Genomic DNA, 17,226 nt, shown 5'->3' with positions numbered 1-17,226 from the left:
CCAAGATGGGTGGATTGCATCAGTCCAGGAGTTGGAGACCAGCCTGGGCAACATGGTGTGAAACCCTGGCTCTACAAAAACAAAAATTAGCTGGGTGTAGTGGCGCATGCCTGCAGTCCCAGCTACTCAGGAGGTTGAGGCTGGAGGATCACTTTAGTCTCGGGAGGTCGAGGCTGCAGTGAGCTGTGATCATGCCACTGCACTCCAGCCTGGGTGACAGAGTAAGACCCTAGTCTCCAAAACAACAACAACAACATCAAAAAGGAAGTATAAAAAAGAAAAAAATTCCAGTACAAAATGATATTTAGGGGACTCAGGCACAGTGGCCTCCACCTGTAATCGCAGCTAATCAGGAGGCCAAGGCGAGAGGTTGGCTTGAGCCCAGGCATTTGAGATCAGCCTCAAAAAAAAAAAGGCCATGTGTGGTGGCTCACGCCTGTAATCGCAATACTTTGGGAGGCTGAGGCCAGCAGATCACTTGAACCCAGGAGTTTGAGACCAGCCTGGGCGATATGGTGAAACCCCATCTCGACTAAAAATTGAAGAATTAGCCCAGCGCAATGGTGCACGCCTGTAGTCCCAGCTACTCAGGAGGCTGCAGTGGGAGGATCACTTGAGCCCTGGAGGAGGAGGAGGTTGCAGTGAGCTGAGGAGGTTTCTCCAGCCTGGGCAACAGAGTGAGACCCTGTCTCACACAGACACACACACACACAAAAAGGAGGCCAGGCACAGTGGCTCACACCTATAATGCCAGCACTTTGGGAGGCCAAGGTGGGTGAATCATTTGAGCACAGGAGTTTGAGACTAGCCACAGCAACATGGCATAAACCCCATCACTACAAAAAAATAATAATAATAATAGCTGGGTGAGTGTTGCATGCCTTGTAATCCCAGCTACTTGGGAGGCTGAGTGGGAGGATCATTTGAGCCCAGGAGGTTAAGGCTGTAGGGAGCTGAAACTACCACTGCATTTCAGCCTGGGCGACAGAGCAAGACCTTGTCTCAAATTTAAAAAAAAAAATAAATAAATAATCTAATATTTGTGTGATCGAATCTTGTCCTTTAGGACTGACAGATTTCATATCATGATTAGTGGGATCCGTGGAATAATTTGTTGTTTGCTCCTCTGTCACCCAGGCAGGAATGCAGTGGTATAATCACAGCTTACTGCAACCTCGACCTCCTGGGCTCAAGTGATCCTCCCACCTTGGCCTCCCAAAGTGTTGAGATTACAAGAGCCACTGTGTCCAGCCTTGTTTTCTTTTCTTTTTCTTTCTTTCCTTTTTTTTTTTTTTTTTTTGGACACAGGGTTTCGCTCTGTCACCCAGGCTGGAGTGCAGTGGTGTAATCTCAGCTCACTGCAACCTCTGCTTCCATGGCTCAAGTCATCCTCTGGCCTCAGCCTCCCAAGTAAGTGGGACTACAGGCACAAGCCATCATGCCCAGCTAATGTTTTTGTATTTTTTATAGGGACGGTGTCTTGCCATCTTGCCCAGGCAGTTTTTAAACTCCTGAGCTCAAAGTGATCTGCCTCCCAAAGTACTGGGGCCAGCCTTGTTTTTTCTTTTAATCCTTTTAGTGTGATGATTTGTGGTGGGTGGGTGAAACTTGGGGCCGAAACCTTTCTGGAAAGAACACACACACGCATGCACACGCATACGCACAACCTGCCTGGGTTCCGTAGCAGACTCCCAACAGCTCACAACTGAAATTCCTTGTTAGCCGCAGAGCTCGGCCATGCATCGAATCCTTCATGGTGACAGGCTGAAAGTTGAACACCGTGGTAAGGTAATGGGGACTCCATCAGTGGAACCGTGCTGTGTCACTCACCTAAGGAACAGGGCTGCTCTGTGCTTGTCCAGTTTATGGAGACAGTGTCTCATGGGTCCAGAACAGACAGCTGCATGGAGGAAGAGATTTGTTTGTTTATTTCTTTATTTATTAAGACGGAGTCTTGCTCTGGGACCCAGGCTGGAGTGCAGTGGCATGATCTCAGCTCACCGTAACCTATGCCTCCTGGGTTCAAAAGATTCTCCTGCCCCAGCCTCCCAGGTAGCTGGGATTACAGGCGCCCACCACCATGTCCGGCTATCTTTAAAAAATAATCTTAAAATATCTTTAAATATATATATATATAAGTATATATATGAATATATGAATATATATAAGTATATATGTGAATATATGAATATATATAAGTATATATATGAATATATGAATATATATAAGTATATATATGAATATATGAATATAAGTATATATATGAATATATGAATATAAGTATATATATGAATATATGAATATAAGTATATATATATGAATATATTAATATATATATTCATATATATGAATATATATTCATATATATGAATATATGAATATATATAAGTATATATGAATATATGAATATATATATAAGTATATATGAATATATGAATATATATTCATATATATGAATATATGAATATATATTCATATATATGAATATATAAGTATATATGAATATATGAATATATAAGTATATATGAATATATGAATATATATTCACATATGTGAATATATGAATATATATTCACATATGTGAATATATGAATATATATATTCACATATGTGAATATATGAATATATATATTCACATATGTGAATATATGAATATATATATTCACATATGTGAATATATGAATATATATATTCACATATGTGAATATATGAATATATATATAGGAATGGGGTCTCACTATGTTGCCCAGAATGGTCTAGAACTCCTGAGGTCAAGCAATCCACCCACCTTGGCCTCCCGAAGGGTTGGAATTACAGGCATGAAGTATCACGCCCGGCCAATAAATTTCCTAACGCAAGCAGGTATCCCAATTTAGAACAGGCTGCCACTGCAGAAAGGCAACTGGCTTGGACTTCTGTCATTGGCAGAGGAGTCAGCCTCCACGGGGATCCTTCTCACCTCCCTGGGGCTCACCACCCTCCGTAGCTATGGAGTAGAGTGATTTAATTCCTCAAAGGGTGAATTATAACCCATCTTAGGAGTCATCTATGACGTTTTCTCTCTGGATTCTGTTTTTTGCCAGTTGGGAAGGACTAGAAACACCAGCTTAATTATTGACCCCCCAGGCCTGGCCACTGGTGTTTTCTTGAAATGTTAAGCCATTTGTAACCAAAGAATGACTTCCTTCTCTAGTTGAAAACCTGGGATCTAATGATAGCAATAGCTACAATATATAATTCTCAGTTCATTCGTCCCGGTGTGGGAACTTAATTCCCTCACTTACTCCTCCCAACAACTCCTTGAGGTAGGGATTATTTTCTTTTTAACTTTTTATTTTGAAATAATTTTTGCCTCCCAGAAAATCTGCAGAAACTGTAGGGTTTCCTAATACGCTTCATCCAACTCCCCCTAATGTGAACATCGTCTGTAACCCCTAGGACAAGCCAGGTTATCAAAGCCAGGAAGTGAACACCCACATAATCCTATTAACAAATACACAGACTGATCGAGCGTGATGACTCACACCTGTAATCCCAGCACTTTGGAAGGCCGAGGCAGGCGGATCACTTGGGGTCAGGAGCTCAAGACCAGCCTGGCCAACATGGTGAAAACCTGTCTCTACTAAAAATACAAAAATTAGCCAGGGGTGGTGGTGAACACCTGTAGTCCCAGCTACTCGGGAGGCTGAGGCAGGTGCATCACTTGAACCTGGGAGGCGGAGAGTGCAGTGAGCCGAGATCGCGCCACTGCCCTCCAGCCTGGGCAACAAGAGGGAAACAAAAGCAAGCATCCTGCTTCTCATCCTACTTTCCCTCTGCTAATTTTGAATATCGATGCACACACATCTTGGCTGCAACGATTATGAGAAGTTCGCCTAATGGTGACCTTCGATTTCCCTCACTCCCTGTACATCTCCTAACTGAAAGAGCTGCAGTCAGTCACACGGCTGGTGAGGGACCCTGAGACCCCAAAACGAACTCCATTACCACCTGAGGGACCCTCCAAGGATCGCCGGGCTACGCAGGGTCCCTAGGGTACGAGGCCGCCCCCTCGGCGGCCCCGCCCCCTCGGCGGCCCCGCCCCCTCGGCAAAAGTCCCGCCCCCTCGACAAAGTCCCGCCCCCAAGATGGTGGCCCCGGGCGGTGGACAGGGCGGGGCGTGCCGGGTCACGTGGACAGCCGACGCCGACGTGGCCTCCGGCGGACGCTCCACGTGTCCCTCGCCGCGCCCCGTCTACCCGCCCCTGCCCTGAGGACCCTAGTCCAACATGGCGGCGCCCAGCGGAGGGTGGAACGGCGTCGGCGCGAGCTTGTGGGCCGCGCTGCTCCTAGGGGCCGTGGCGCTGAGGCCGGCGGAGGCGGTGTCCGAGCCCACGACGGTGGCGTTTGACGTGCGGCCCGGCGGCGTCGTGCATTCCTTCTCCCATAACGTGGGCCCGGGGGTACGTGCCACCGCCGTCCCGGATATTTGAGTGCTGGCAGGCCCGGGGAGGGGGCGCGGAGCATTGGGGGCGGGGCCCGAGGAGGGGGCGCGGACCGCGGAGGTGGGTACTGAAGAAGGGGTGCGGATTGTTAGGGTCGGAGGCTGAGTGGGGGGCGCGGGACCGTGAGGCCGGGGTCATCACTGGGGCAGGACTGAACTCATAGGGAGCGGGGCCTTGTGGGCCCCGGCGGCGTTGAGGGGGCGTGATCACCTGTCACCTGTCGCCTGCCTGGAGTGTCCAGGCACCCCTGCCCTCCAGACGCAGAGGTGGGGAGGGGTCAGTGATGGGAGCGGCAGGAGGCTAAAGGGCATCTGCCCTCCTGGGCCTGAAGGAAATCAGTCGCTGCAGCTCCGAAGAGGGAGGAAGTGCTCCTTCCTTCCATTGCACAAGGTCCCCCCTCACCGAGGGTGTGAGGCCGGGCCCTCAGCCCTGTACTCAGCTTGTCGGCAAAGTCCTTTCCCCTCTCAGCCTCCCTTTCCCCGCCTGTAATAACAGTATCTTTACTGTTTTTTGACTATTTCTTTTTAGACTTGCGTGCAGTGGCGGGATCTCGGCTCACTGCATCCTTAGCCTTCTGGGTTCAAGCAATTCTTCTGCCTCAGCCTCCCCAGTACCTGGGATTACAGACGTGTGCCACCACACCCGGATAATTGTTGTTGTTGTTGTTTGAGATGGAGCCTCACTCTGTCGCCCAGGCTGGAGTGCAGTGGCGCGATCTTGGCTCACTGCAACCTCTGCCTCCCAGGTTCATGCCATTCTCCTGCCGCAGCCTCCCAAGTAGCTGGGACTACTAATCTTTGTATTTTTAGTACAGATGGGATTTCACCATGTTAGCCAGGCTGGTCTTGAACTCCTGACCGCAGGTGACCCGCCCACCTCGGCCTCCCAAAGTGATGGGATTACAGGCGTGAGCCACTGTGCCAGGCCAGTTTGTTGACTACTTCCTTATAGTTAGGTGTGATGCCAAGTCCTTTATATGTTAGGCCCAAGTTACAGATGAGAAAATGCTTCACATAAAAAAGAGAAACAGAGAGAAACTAGAGGCTCAGAAAAGTTTTCACTTGTCCAGGTCCCATGGCAAAACCCATCTCTACAAAAATACGAAAAATTAGCCAGGTGTGGTAGCAGGTGCCTGTAATCCCAAGTACTCAGGAGGCTGAGGCAGGAGAATCGTTTGAACCCGGGAGGCAGAAGTTGCAGTGAGCTGAGATCATCCCACTTCAGCCTGGGCGACAGAACAAGACTCTGCTTCAAAAAAAAAAAAAAAAATTAGTCGGGTGTGGTGGTTGCGTACCTATTGTCTCAGTTACTTGAGAGGCTGAGGCAAGAGGATTACTCAAACCTGGGAGTTCGAGGCTGCAGTGAGCTGTCATTGTGCCCCTGCACTCCAGCTTGGGTGACAGCAAGACCCCGTCTCTTAAACAAAATAAAAATTTCCTTCTACCAAACCTTTTTTTTCCTTCCATTCTCTAGGACAAATATACGTGTATGTTCACTTACGCCTCTCAAGGAGGGACCAATGAGGTGAGTTGTTCAAAATTCCCTCTAGCTTACTGTGACAGTATCCATTGTTGTAGGGAGATGTTCTGTAGCAGACAGCAGGGTTGGGTCTCACCTATATCACCTTACACTCATTGAATGACTCTTCCTAAACCAATAAAAAGGGAGAGTATTGGCATTAAACAGTGACGACAGATTCTGCTGTTATTATTCTACAGAGCAAGCAAATGTCTGGACAGAAGGAGGGAGGGGAGATGGGAGTCTGCCATCCCCATGAGCATCTGTTGGGATGTTGTATTTTATGTGCAGTGCAACAAGTTATCACAGCTTAGGGGCTTAAAACAGCACCCATTTATTATCTCATAGCTTTGTAGGTCAGAAGTCTGGGTCAGCTCAGTTGTGTGCTTCATAAAACCAAACTCAAGGTATTTTGGGAGGCTGAGGCGGGCAGATCACCTGAGGTCAAAGTTCGAGACCAGCCTGGCCAACATGGCAAAACCTCATCTCTACTAAAAATACAAAAATTAGCTGGGCATGGTGGCACATGCCTGTAGTCCCAGCTACTCAGGAGGCTGAGGCAGGAGAATCACTTGAACCCAGGAGACGGAGGTTGCAGTGAGCCAAGATTGTGCCACTGCACTCCAGCCTGGGCAACAGAGCGAGACTCTGTCTCAAAAAATAAATAATAAATAAATAAAGGTATCACAGGCAAGGCATGGTGGCTCATGCCCCATCTCTACAGAAAATAAAAAAATTAGCCCAGCGTGGTGGCGTGCACCTGTGGTTCCAGCTACTTGGGAGACTGAGGTGGGAGGATCGCTTGAGCCCAGGAGGTCAAGGCTGTAGTGAGCCGTGATTGTGCTACTGGGCAACAGAGCAAGACCCTGTCTCAAAAAAAAAAAAAGTCTCTGGGCTGGGAGAAGAATCCTCTCCTTCAAGCTCTTAGTTGGCAGAATTCAGTTACTTGTGGTTCAGGGACCAAGGTCCCGGTTTCCTTGCTGGCTGTTGTCTCCAGCTGGTGGCAGAAGAGCCAGTAAAGATGATTTGGGCCAGGCACAGTGGCTCATGCCTATAATCCCAGCACTTTGGGAGGCCAAGGCTGGCGAATCACCTGAAGTCAGGAGCTCCAGACCAGCCTGGCCAACATGGTGAAACCCCGTCTCTACTAAAACTACAAAAATTAGCCGGGCGAGCCAGGCGCACTGGCTCATGCCTGTAATCCCAGCACTTTGGGAGGCCGAGGCGGGTGGATCACAAGGTCAGGAGATCGAGACCATCCTGGCTAACACGGTGAAACCCCGTCTCTACTAAAAATACAAAAAATTAGCCGGGTGTTTTGGTGGGCACCTGTAGTCCCAGCTACTGGGGAGGCTGAGGCAGGAGAATGGCGTGAACCCGGGAGGCGGAGCTTGCAGCGAGCCAAGATCGCGCCACTGCACTCCATCCTGGGCGACAGAGCGAGACTCTGTCTCAAAAAAAAAAAAAAAAAAAAAAAAAGGGTGATTTGAAGCACATGGACACATACGCCACTGCTGCCCTTGAGGGAACTGCAGGGCAGGGAATACACGCGGCCTCTAGGAGCTGAGAACAGCCTCTGGCTGGCAGCAAGGAAATGAAGACTTCAGTCCCGCAACCAAGAGGAACTGAAATCTGCCACAACCACAAGAGCTTGGAAGAGGACCTTGAGCTACCAGTAAGAGCCTAGCCCGGTCAACACCTTGAGATGGGTTTCGCCATGTTGGCCAGGCTGATCTTGAACTGCTGACCTCAAATGATCAGCCTGCCTCGGCCTCCCAAAGTGCTGGGATTACAGGTGTGAGCCACCGGTGCCCGGCCTCCTAGAGATTTTTCTGTATCCTATGTAAAGCGCTTCAGTTGCATGGACGTGTGGAGTTGACAATCCCGTACTAATGGATTGAGGGTTACTTCCAACCCAGTCCGTGAATAACCTTGGCCAGGGTTCATTGTACAAGTGCAGTTACATCTGTGGGAAAACCACCCAGAAGTGGGATTCATGGGTCCATTTTCTTAAAAGTAAAACTGGGCTGGGCGCGGTGGCTCACGCCTGTAATCCCAGCACTTTGAGAGGCCAAGGCAGGTGGATCGCCTGAGGTTGGGAGTTTGAGACCAGCCTTGCTAAGATGGTGAAACCCCATCTCTACTGAAAATACAAAAGTTAGCAGGGCGTGGTGGCACGCGCCTGTAATCCCAGCTACTCAGGAGGCTGAGGCAGGAGAATCGCTTGAACCCACGAGGCAGAGGTTGCAGTGAGCTGAGATCGCACCACTGCACTCCAGCCTGGGTGACAGAGCGAGACTCCATCTCAAAAAAAAAAAAAAAAGTAAAACTGTATGTTTTGAGATCATGGTAGATTTACATTCACTTGTAAGAAATCCTACAGAGAGATCCAAGTACCGTTTAACCAGGTTCCCCGGTGGTAACATCGTGCAAGAGGCCAGTCATTTTAGAGATGGGGTCTCGCTATGTTGCCCAGGCTGGTCTCGAACTCTTGGGTTCAAGTGATCATCCCACGTTGGCCTCCCAAAGTGCTGGGATTACAGGCATGAGCCACCATGCCCAGCCTGCATTTTCCATTTTGCTTGTACCTGTTGCAGCTCCACCGACAACCTGGAATAGTCTTGGTTTTCACACCCATATGGTGTGTTAGCAGACAGGAGGGCTTTTGCCCTTCTGACCTGGGAGAAAAAGGTATCTCACGATAGTTCAGCTTGTGTTTATTTATTTTTCATAAATGATATGGGACATCTTTTTTTTTTTTTTTTTTTTTTTTTTTTTTTGAGACAGAGTCTCGCTCTGTCGCCCAGGCTGGAGTGCAGTGGCGCGATCTCAGCTCACTGCAAGCTCCGCCTCCCGGGTACACGCCATTCTCCTGCCTTAGCCTCCCGAGTAGCTGGGACTACAGGCGCCCACCACTGCGCTCGGCTAATTTTTTGTATTTTTAGTAGAGATGGGGTTTCATCATGTTAGCCAGGATGGTCTTGATCTCCTGACCTCGTGATCTGCCTGCCTCGGCCTCCCAAAGTGCTGGGATTACAGGCGTGAGCCACCGCGCCCGGCCTGGACATCTATTTATATGTTTAAGAGTTGTTCTTAGGCCTGGCATGGTGGCTTATATCTGTAATCTCAGCACTTTGGGAGGCCAAGGTGGGAGGATTGCTTGAGGCCAGGAGGTTGAGACCAGCCTGGGCAATATGGCAAGACAGTGATTCTACAAAACACAAAAATTAGCTGGGTGTGGTCCCAGCTACTTGGGAGGCTGAGGTGGGAGGATCGCTTGAGCCCAGGAGGTAGAGGTTGCAGTGAGGCGAGATCGTGCCACTGCACGCCAGCCCAGGCCACAGAGAGAGACTCCATCTCAAAAACAAACAAACAAACAAACAAACAGCGTTGTTCCTATTTCCCCATCCGTGGGAGCCACTTTGGGGTAGTTCTCATTAGAGGCACCACTTTTATGGGAAGGATGTGGTGCAGGCAGGCTCCCTGATCACAGATGACAGCAAACCCCAGGCCACCAGGAGGGCGGGGCAGGGGATTTAGTGGCCAGCCCCTGAATCGGGAGGTACAGAAGAGGTGGCCTGACTGTAGAATCAGAGGCACACCTAGAAGTCTCCGAGAGCAGCTGTGTGTCCGGGGCTGACCCGCGCTGTCTTCTCTCCCCAGCAATGGCAGATGAGTCTGGGGACCAGCGAAGACCACCAGCACTTCACCTGCACCATCTGGAGGTGAGACTCGGGGTGGGGATGGCATTTCCGGCTGCCGTTGGCCTGCCCTGTGGCCTCAGGAGCTGCTTTGGAAGGCAGGGAACGAGGGCTGCACCCCTGGAGGGGAAGACAGACCAGCAGGGAGACTCATGCACGTGCAGGTGGGGGGTGGCAGGGTCGCTGGGGTGGGAGTGCTCCCCAAGGAAGTGCACTGATGCAGAGACTGAGAAGGTCTGGGGGAGACGGGGGGAGCCTGTGCGGGGCAAGGTCCCAGGAAAAGGAGAAGCAGCTCAGAGGGTGCGGAGCGTGGACCAGGGCCCAGGAAGGCCCCAAGGGGCTCCACCCTCCCCTAAGGGTGAGACGAACTCACCAAAGGGCTTTTTGGCAATTTTTTTTTTTTTTTTTTTGAGATGGAGTCTCCATCTTTTGCCCGGGCTGTAGTGCAGTGGAGCAATCTTGGCTCACTGCAGCCTCCGCCTCCTGGGTTCAAGCGATTCTCCTCCCTCAGCCTCCTGAGTAGCTGGGATTACAGGCGTGTGCCACCATGCCTGACCCTTTTTGGCAATGTTTAAAAACTGAGATAAAATTCCATAAAGCACAGCATTTTAAGCTCACAATTCAGCTGCATGGAGTACTTTCTCAGAGGTGTGCAGCCAGACCTCTGCTTCCAGAACATTTTCATCCCCTGAAAATAAACTCTGTTCCCATCAGAGTCATTCTCCTTCCCAGCACATGGCAGCCACGCATCCCCCTCCTGTCTCTGTGGATGGGCGTGTCCTGGACATTGCATAGAAATGGGGTCAAACCTTCCCTGTGTGGCCTTTGGTGTCTGGCGTCTCTCACTGAACGTGACGTCCTCAAGGCTCATCCATGCTGAGGCCCGTGTCAGCCTCATTTCTTTTCCTGGCTGAGTCCTATTCCAGAGGGCTCCCTGCAGGAACATGTGGAGCTCAGATCCCCCCGGCTGAAGGAGGCAGGCTGAGGCAGGGAGCCCCTCCAGGCACCAACCAGGATGGAGTCGGGGGTTGGGGGTGGGGCGCAGATTGAAGCCTGTGCAGAATGAGGATGGGGTGGGTGGAGAGGGCACAGATTGGAGGCTGTGTAGAATGAGGATGGGGTGGGTGGGGAGGGTAGATTGGAGGCTTTGTAGAATGAGGATGGGGTGGGTGGGGAGAGCACAGATTGGAGACTGTGTAGAATGAGGACAGGGTGGGTGGGGAGGGTATACTGGAGGCTGTAGAATGAGGATGAGGTGGGGAGGGTAGATTGGAGGCTGTAGAATGAGGATGGGGTGGGTGGGGAGGGTAGATTGGAGGCTGTGTAGAATGAGGGTGGGGTGGGTGGGGAGGATAGATTGGAGGCTGTGTAGAATGAGGATGGGGTGGGTGGAGAGTGCACAGGTTGGAGGCTGTAGAATGAGGATGGGGTGGGGAGGGTAGATTGGAGGCTGTGTAGAATGAGGATGGGGTGGGTGGAGAGGGCACAGATTGGAGGCTGTGTAGAATGAGGATGGGGTAGGTGGGGAGAGTAGATTGGATGCTGTAGAATGAGGATGGGGTGGATGGGAGCGTAGATTGGAGGCTGTGTAGAATGAGGATGGGATGGGTGGAGAGGGCACAGATTGGAGGCTGTAGAATGAGGATGGGGTGGGTGGGGAGGGTAGATTGGAGGCTGTGTAGAATGAGGACAGGACGGGTGGGGAGGGTAGATTGGAGGCTGTGTAGAATGAGGACAGGACGGGTGGGGAGGGTAGATTGGAGGCTGTAGAATGAGGATGAGGTGGGTGGGGAATGTAGATCGGAGGCTGTAGAATGAGGATGGAGTGGGGTGGGGAGAGTAGATTGGAGGCTGTAGAATGAGGACGGAGTGGGAGGGGAAGGCACAGACTGGAGGCTGTGTAAAATGAGGACAGGGAGGAGGGGAGGGCACAGATTGGAGGCTGTGGAATCAGCTAGCTGGGGTAGGAGGAGGAGGAAGGTGCTGGGCAGAGTCCTGGTGGAACTGGCGGAGCTGGTGCAGGTCTGGGCTGGGGACGAGCTAGGCAGGTGGCAGGTGTGGGAGTCTGTGGGGTAGTGGCTGTGGAGGTTTGGATGATGCTATCTCCCGGGGAATGTGTCCCACCAGAAGGGGCCCCAGCTGTTTCCCCTCAGGCAGGTCTTTACCAGCATGTTCTCTGAAGGACCAGCCTGATGGCTCATAGCCTTCTTGGGGTGCAGACATCTGGGAATCAGACAAAAGCTGTGCACTCTCTTCCACCTGCCCGAACACACATGCATCTGGGTCCACAGCCCCTCCCCAAGTCTCCCCAGACACCGCCCGATTCTGCCCCTGCCGCCATCCTCTGTCAGGCTCATGGTTTATGGGCTTATCCCGGCTCCACTCGCCCCACTCATTCTCGTAACCCCACTGCCTAGATCCCAGCTCGATCTGGGCAAGGTCATGAAGGGAAGGAAGCCGTCAGGCCCCCCGGTGGGGAGGGGGTCGGGGGCTTCAGGAATCTTGTCCCTTCTTCCCTGATCCTTGGCCCAGAATGTCTCAGCCCAAACAGTGGGTATTTCTTGAGCCTTTATTTTGTGCAGACACTTTGGAGGGAGAAGTCCAAGCTATAGCTCCACCACTGCGGTCAGGTTAAAGCACGTTGACAAATGGGAGGCAGAGATCAGGGAGTGGCGACGTTTAACTGAAGGACAGGGTGTGATTTGCTGCCTCGTGTGGGTGTTGTCCCGCCGTGCCCTGCGGGGCGCTTTACAAACAGCAGGTGTTTCTGGGGAGATTCTCACCCACTCCATGGAACTGGCTGCATCACAGGCAGGCCAAGGCCCCAGGAGGCATCAGGAGGGTCATTGAGAGGAGATAGGCCCCATCAGCCCAGAGAGACCCTGCAGAGGCCGCCCTGTAGTCTTGGGGAAGCCCACGGTCGCCATCGTCTGTCTGCAGGCCACTGCCCTGCATGGACCCCTGAGTGCCAGCTCCCCAGAGGGCATCTGGGCAGGTGCAGGTCTGGAGCAGTTGGGATGGTGGCTGGGCTCACCTTGAGCCTGAATCCTCCTGTCCAACCCCCACAAAAGCTCCCCAGGGGCATGCTCAGCCCCGGAGACCTGCCACCCCAGGCCTCCTCATCTCAGACAGTGACTGGACCCTCCCTGACCAGGGCTGTTGGCAGTGCTAGGGCTTAAAGAAGAATCTAGGGCTCCCTGGATACCCCCGCCCCACCCATGCACATAGAACCCCAGCCAGGGCTTCCACAGAAATGGCCCCCCTGCTGCCCCTCCATCCCCATCACACTCTCTTCACACCAGAGATGCCATCATCCCCTGCTGTCACCTTCCGACACCTTCTGCCACTCCAGTTCCTTAGAAGCCTCCGTTAGCAGCCTTCTAGAGACCTGGGCAGATGATCCTCCCCACTTCTTAAGTTAACTCCTGTACTTCCTAGTCAATGCCCTCTGAGAAGCCTTTACTGGCCTCTCATTGCCCAGCCCCAGCCCCCGTCGTAGTACCTGGATTGCTGTCAGCAACCAAGAAGCCATGTGCAGTGAATGGACATGGGGTCCTGTCCCAGAGCAGCTCCCAGCCCACAGGGGAGAGAGGCGTGTCTATGAATGAGCTGGAAGAACATTCTGGCACAAAGGGGCCAGGCACAGTGGCTCACACCTCTAATCACAGCCCTCTGGGAGGCTGAGGCGAGTGGATCACTTGAGGTCAGGGGTTCAGGCCAGGCTGGCCAACATGGTGAAACCATGTTTTTACTAAAAATACCAAAATTAGTCAGATGTGGTCGCGGGTGCCTGTACTCCCAGCTACAAGGGAGGCTAAGGCAGGAGAATCACTTAAACCCAGGAGGCAGAGGCTGCAGTGAGTGAGATTGTGCCATTGCCATCCAGCCTGGGCAACAGAGTGAGACTCGTCTCCAAAAAAAAAAAAAAAAAAAAATTCTGGCACAAAAGAAAGAGGGTCTGCTGTTGAGAGGGCCCCATCCATCCTTCCCAGTCAGCAGGTGCTCGTGCTCGGGAATGGCGTCCATGTTGAGAAGCAGGCACGAGACCTGCTGACCCCAGCCCGAGTCCCTGGCGGGGCTCCTTCCAGGGCACACAGACCCAGACCCAGCAGGCCTGGCCTGACTCCCTCGCCCCCTCTTCCTCTGCAGGCCCCAGGGGAAGTCCTATCTGTACTTCACACAGTTCAAGGCAGAGGTGCGGGGCGCTGAGATTGAGTACGCCATGGCCTACGTGAGTATCTTGGAGTGGGGCAGGCTCCGGGTGTGGCTTCTGTGCACTGGGGCAGCTGTGAGATGTCCTGCCACAAGAGGGCTCCATGGGGACAGGGAGGAGAGGGGACAGCGAATCCTGCAGAGGTAGGGTGTGTAACTTGCAGGAACCTGGCACACAGACGCCCCCAGGCCAGGGGCACGGGGGTTTGGTAACCTGTTGCTGCTGGCTTCTCTTGTATATGCCAGAAAAGACTTCTCCAGGCCAGGCGCGGCGGTTCACGCCAGTAATCCCAGCAATTTGGGAGGCTGAGGCAGGAGGATTGCTGGAGGCCAGGAATTTGATTCCAGCCTAGGCAACATAGCAAGACCCTATATCTACCAAAAGTAAAAAAAAAATAGCCAGGCGTGTTGGCATGCACCCATAGTCCCACCTACTCAGGAGGCCGCAGCAGGAGGATCACTTGAGTCCAGGACTTTGAAGCTGCAGTGAGCTATGATTGCACTGCTGCATTCCAGCCTGGACAGTAGAGTGAGGTCCTGGCTCAAAAACAAAAAAGTCTCCTCTCCATCTCTAGTAAAAGTAGAAAGCTTTAGTCTGTGCTTCTCTGGAAAGCAAACTCAATCGTTTTCCTAATGATGAGCATTGAACTGGCCCTGGTAAAGTTTCCACTCATTCTTTTTCAGTCTAAAGCCGCATTTGAAAGGGAAAGTGATGTCCCTCTGAAAACTGAGGAATTTGAAGTGACCAAAACAGCAGGTACGGAAAGATGGGGATGGGGTAGAGGTGACGCCACCCCCATCCAAGGGTGGGCAATCGGGGCAGTTTGGAGAGGGGGGTCAGCCATAGGGGTCCTGGAGACTGTAGACCAGGCATCCACAAACTGATTCTATAAAGGCCACCTCGTCAATATCTTCAGCTTTGTGGCACTGTGGGTTCTGTCTAGAGCTGTGCCATTGTGGCACAAAGCTGCTGCAGACAGTATGTCCATGCGTGGGTGTGGCTGTGTGCCACTAGAACTTTATCTTAGCTGGGCGCGGTGGCTCATGCCTGTTACCGCAGCTGCTCAGGAGGCTAAGGTGGGAGGATCATTGGAGCCCAGGAGGTCAAGACCAGCCTGGGCAACATAGCGAGACCCTGTCTCTACAAAATTTTTTTAAAAATCAGGCTGGGTGCGGTGGCTCACGCCTGTAATCCCAGCACTTTGGGAGGACGAGGCGGGCGGAACACTTGAGGTCAGGAGTTCCAGACCAGCTGGCCAACATAATGAAACCCCATCTCTACTAAAAATGCAAAAAATTAGCCAGGCGTGGTGGTGCGCACCTGTAATCCCAGCTATTCAGGAGAATTGCTGGAACCTGGGAGGTGGAGGTTGCAGTGAGCTGAGATCATGCCACTGCACTCTAGCCTGGAAGACAGCAAGATTCTGTCTCAAAAAGAAAAAAAATTAGCCGGGCATGGTGGTGTGTACCTGTAGTCTCAGCTACTTAGGAGGCTGAGGTGGGAGGATTATTTGAGCCCAGGAGGTCGAGGCTGCATTGAGCTATGATCGCACCACTGCACTCCAGCCTGGGCATCAGAGTAAGACTCTGTCTCAAAAACAATAAACAGGGCTGGGCATGGTGGCTCACACCTGTAATCCCAGCACTTTGGGAGGCCAGGAGTTCCAGACCAGCCTAGCCAACATGGTGAAACCCCTTCTCTACTAAAAATACCAAAATTAGCCAAGGATGGTGGCACATGCTTGTAATCCCAGCTACTCAGGAGGCAGAGACAGGAGAATCTCTTGAACTTAGGAGCAGGAGGTTGCAGTGAGTCGAGACTGCACCACTGCACTCCAGCCTAGGCAACAGAGGAAGACTCTCATCTCAAAAAAAATAATAAATTTTAAAAAATAAATAAATGAAATAAAACAAAGTAGAAACCATCAGGGCTTTGAGGTTGGGACTGTGGCATGCCGAGGGGAGGCTGCAGGGGTCACTGGGAAACATCAGGGTCCTTCTTCGGTTGCCTGAGCAGCACCGGTGTCCTCAAGCCACATTCAGCTGCATGGCGCCAATGCTAAGCAGAAAGAGGAATCGGAGGCGCCGAGCTGGGGCAAGGGTGGGAGCCAAGGGAGTGGACACAGCAGGTAGGGCCGGGAGACTTGGGTGAAGCAGTGGAAGCCAGAGTTCTGACCCTGCTGGAGAAGTGTCATGAGGGCCTCAGACAGGTTCACCCACTGAGCAGGAGGTCTTGCAGCCTGACCCACCCTGCATCCTGTTCAGGCCGGGATCATCTCCTTCCTGGGCTTCTTCTGGCCCCTTTCTGCATCTCTTCTTGACAACATGGCACAAATGACCAGGGTTCTTCCCACCTCAGGTCTTTCTGTGGCTTCCTGCTGCCTGCCATCTATGTTAGCCCCACCGACCTTACCCTCCACATCACTGTTTTCCTGTCTGTCACCCGTAAGACTTTCAGTGCCTGGGGCCTTTTCACATGGGAGTCTGCTTTGGAGACTGCTCCCCTTGCCTGCTTAGCCCCCACCATGGGCCCCACCCCAAATCCTCCGGACTTCTGAGAATTTTCAATGTTGAGGGCCCAACCATGTGTTTCTTTCTTGCAGTGGCTCACAGGCCCGGGGCATTCAAAGCTGAGCTGTCCAAGCTGGTGATTGTGGCCAAGGCATCGCGCACTGAGCTGTGACCAGCAGCCCTGTTGCGGGTGGCACCTTCTCATCTCCGGTGAAGCTGAAGGGGCCTGTGTCCCTGAAAGGGCCAGCACATCACTGGTTTTCTAGGAGGGACTCTTAAGTTTTCTACCTGGGCTGACGTTGCCTTGTCCGGAGGGGCTTGCAGGGTGGCTGAAGCCCTGGGGCAGAGAACAGAGGGTCCAGGGCCCTCCTGGCTCCCAACAGCTTCTCAGTTCCCACTTCCTGCTGAGCTCTTCTGGACTCAGGATCGCAGATCCGGGGCACAAAGAGGGTGGGGAACATGGGGGCTATGCTGGGGAAAGCAGCCATGCTCCCCCCGACCTCCAGCCGAGCATCCTTCATGAGCCTGCAGAACTGCTTTCCTATGTTTACCCAGGGGACCTCCTTTCAGATGAACTGGGAAGAGATGAAATGTTTTTTCATATTTAAATAAATAAGAACATTAAAAAGCAACCCCACAGCCTGGGCCCTCCCGGCTGGCCGTTGCGGGTCAGGAGCTCAGACGCGGCTGACACTGCCCCACCGTGGGCGGGTGGGCGGTGTCTCTGGGTGGGACTTCTCTGCAGGCATCAAAGCGCTAGATCCCAAGGTGGCTGTATGTGAACTTGCCCCCTTCCCCCC

General features: G+C 52.3%; 1 protein-coding gene across 2 annotated transcripts, besides 3 other annotated features; it reads left to right on the top strand.

The window, feature by feature from the left end:
• Positions 3,872–4,261: a silencer, noted in NCBI's record as "silent region_9901". NCBI's record gives its function as "represses an Ori minimal core promoter by ATAC-STARR-seq in GM12878 lymphoblastoid cells {active_cell/tissue: GM12878}" and the evidence as "EXISTENCE:reporter gene assay evidence [ECO:0000049][PMID:35858748]".
• Positions 4,261–17,058, top strand: MYDGF (myeloid derived growth factor). 2 transcript variants are annotated; one of them, NM_019107.4, is made up of 6 exons: positions 4,261–4,442; positions 5,958–6,008; positions 9,666–9,727; positions 13,853–13,934; positions 14,600–14,672; positions 16,519–17,058. In NM_019107.4, exons 1-6 carry the CDS (start codon positions 4,269–4,271, stop codon positions 16,596–16,598), a joined length of 522 nt encoding a protein of 173 aa, NP_061980.1. In that variant the 5' UTR covers positions 4,261–4,268; the 3' UTR covers positions 16,599–17,058. The 2 variants fall into 2 exon arrangements, with proteins under 2 accessions (NP_061980.1, XP_016882476.1); XM_017026987.2 differs by lacking the exons at positions 13,853–13,934; positions 14,600–14,672; positions 16,519–17,058 and adding an exon at positions 12,525–12,897.
• Positions 12,363–13,133: an enhancer, noted in NCBI's record as "H3K4me1 hESC enhancer chr19:4661482-4662252 (GRCh37/hg19 assembly coordinates)". NCBI's record gives its function as "activates a minimal SCP1, AML or CMV promoter by ChIP-STARR-seq in naive H9 embryonic stem cells {active_cell/tissue: H9 hESC(naive)}" and the evidence as "EXISTENCE:reporter gene assay evidence [ECO:0000049][PMID:30033119]".
• Positions 13,435–13,934: an enhancer, noted in NCBI's record as "H3K4me1 hESC enhancer chr19:4660681-4661180 (GRCh37/hg19 assembly coordinates)". NCBI's record gives its function as "activates a minimal SCP1, AML or CMV promoter by ChIP-STARR-seq in primed H9 embryonic stem cells {active_cell/tissue: H9 hESC(primed)}" and the evidence as "EXISTENCE:reporter gene assay evidence [ECO:0000049][PMID:30033119]".
• Positions 17,059–17,226: the final 168 nt, after the last annotated feature.

The sequence above is a fragment of the Homo sapiens genome, chromosome 19 (genome assembly GCF_000001405.40).
Source record: "Homo sapiens chromosome 19, GRCh38.p14 Primary Assembly".
In the NCBI taxonomy this organism is placed as follows: domain Eukaryota; kingdom Metazoa; phylum Chordata; class Mammalia; order Primates; family Hominidae; genus Homo; species Homo sapiens.
This window is presented reverse-complemented; position numbering and strand designations above follow the sequence as displayed.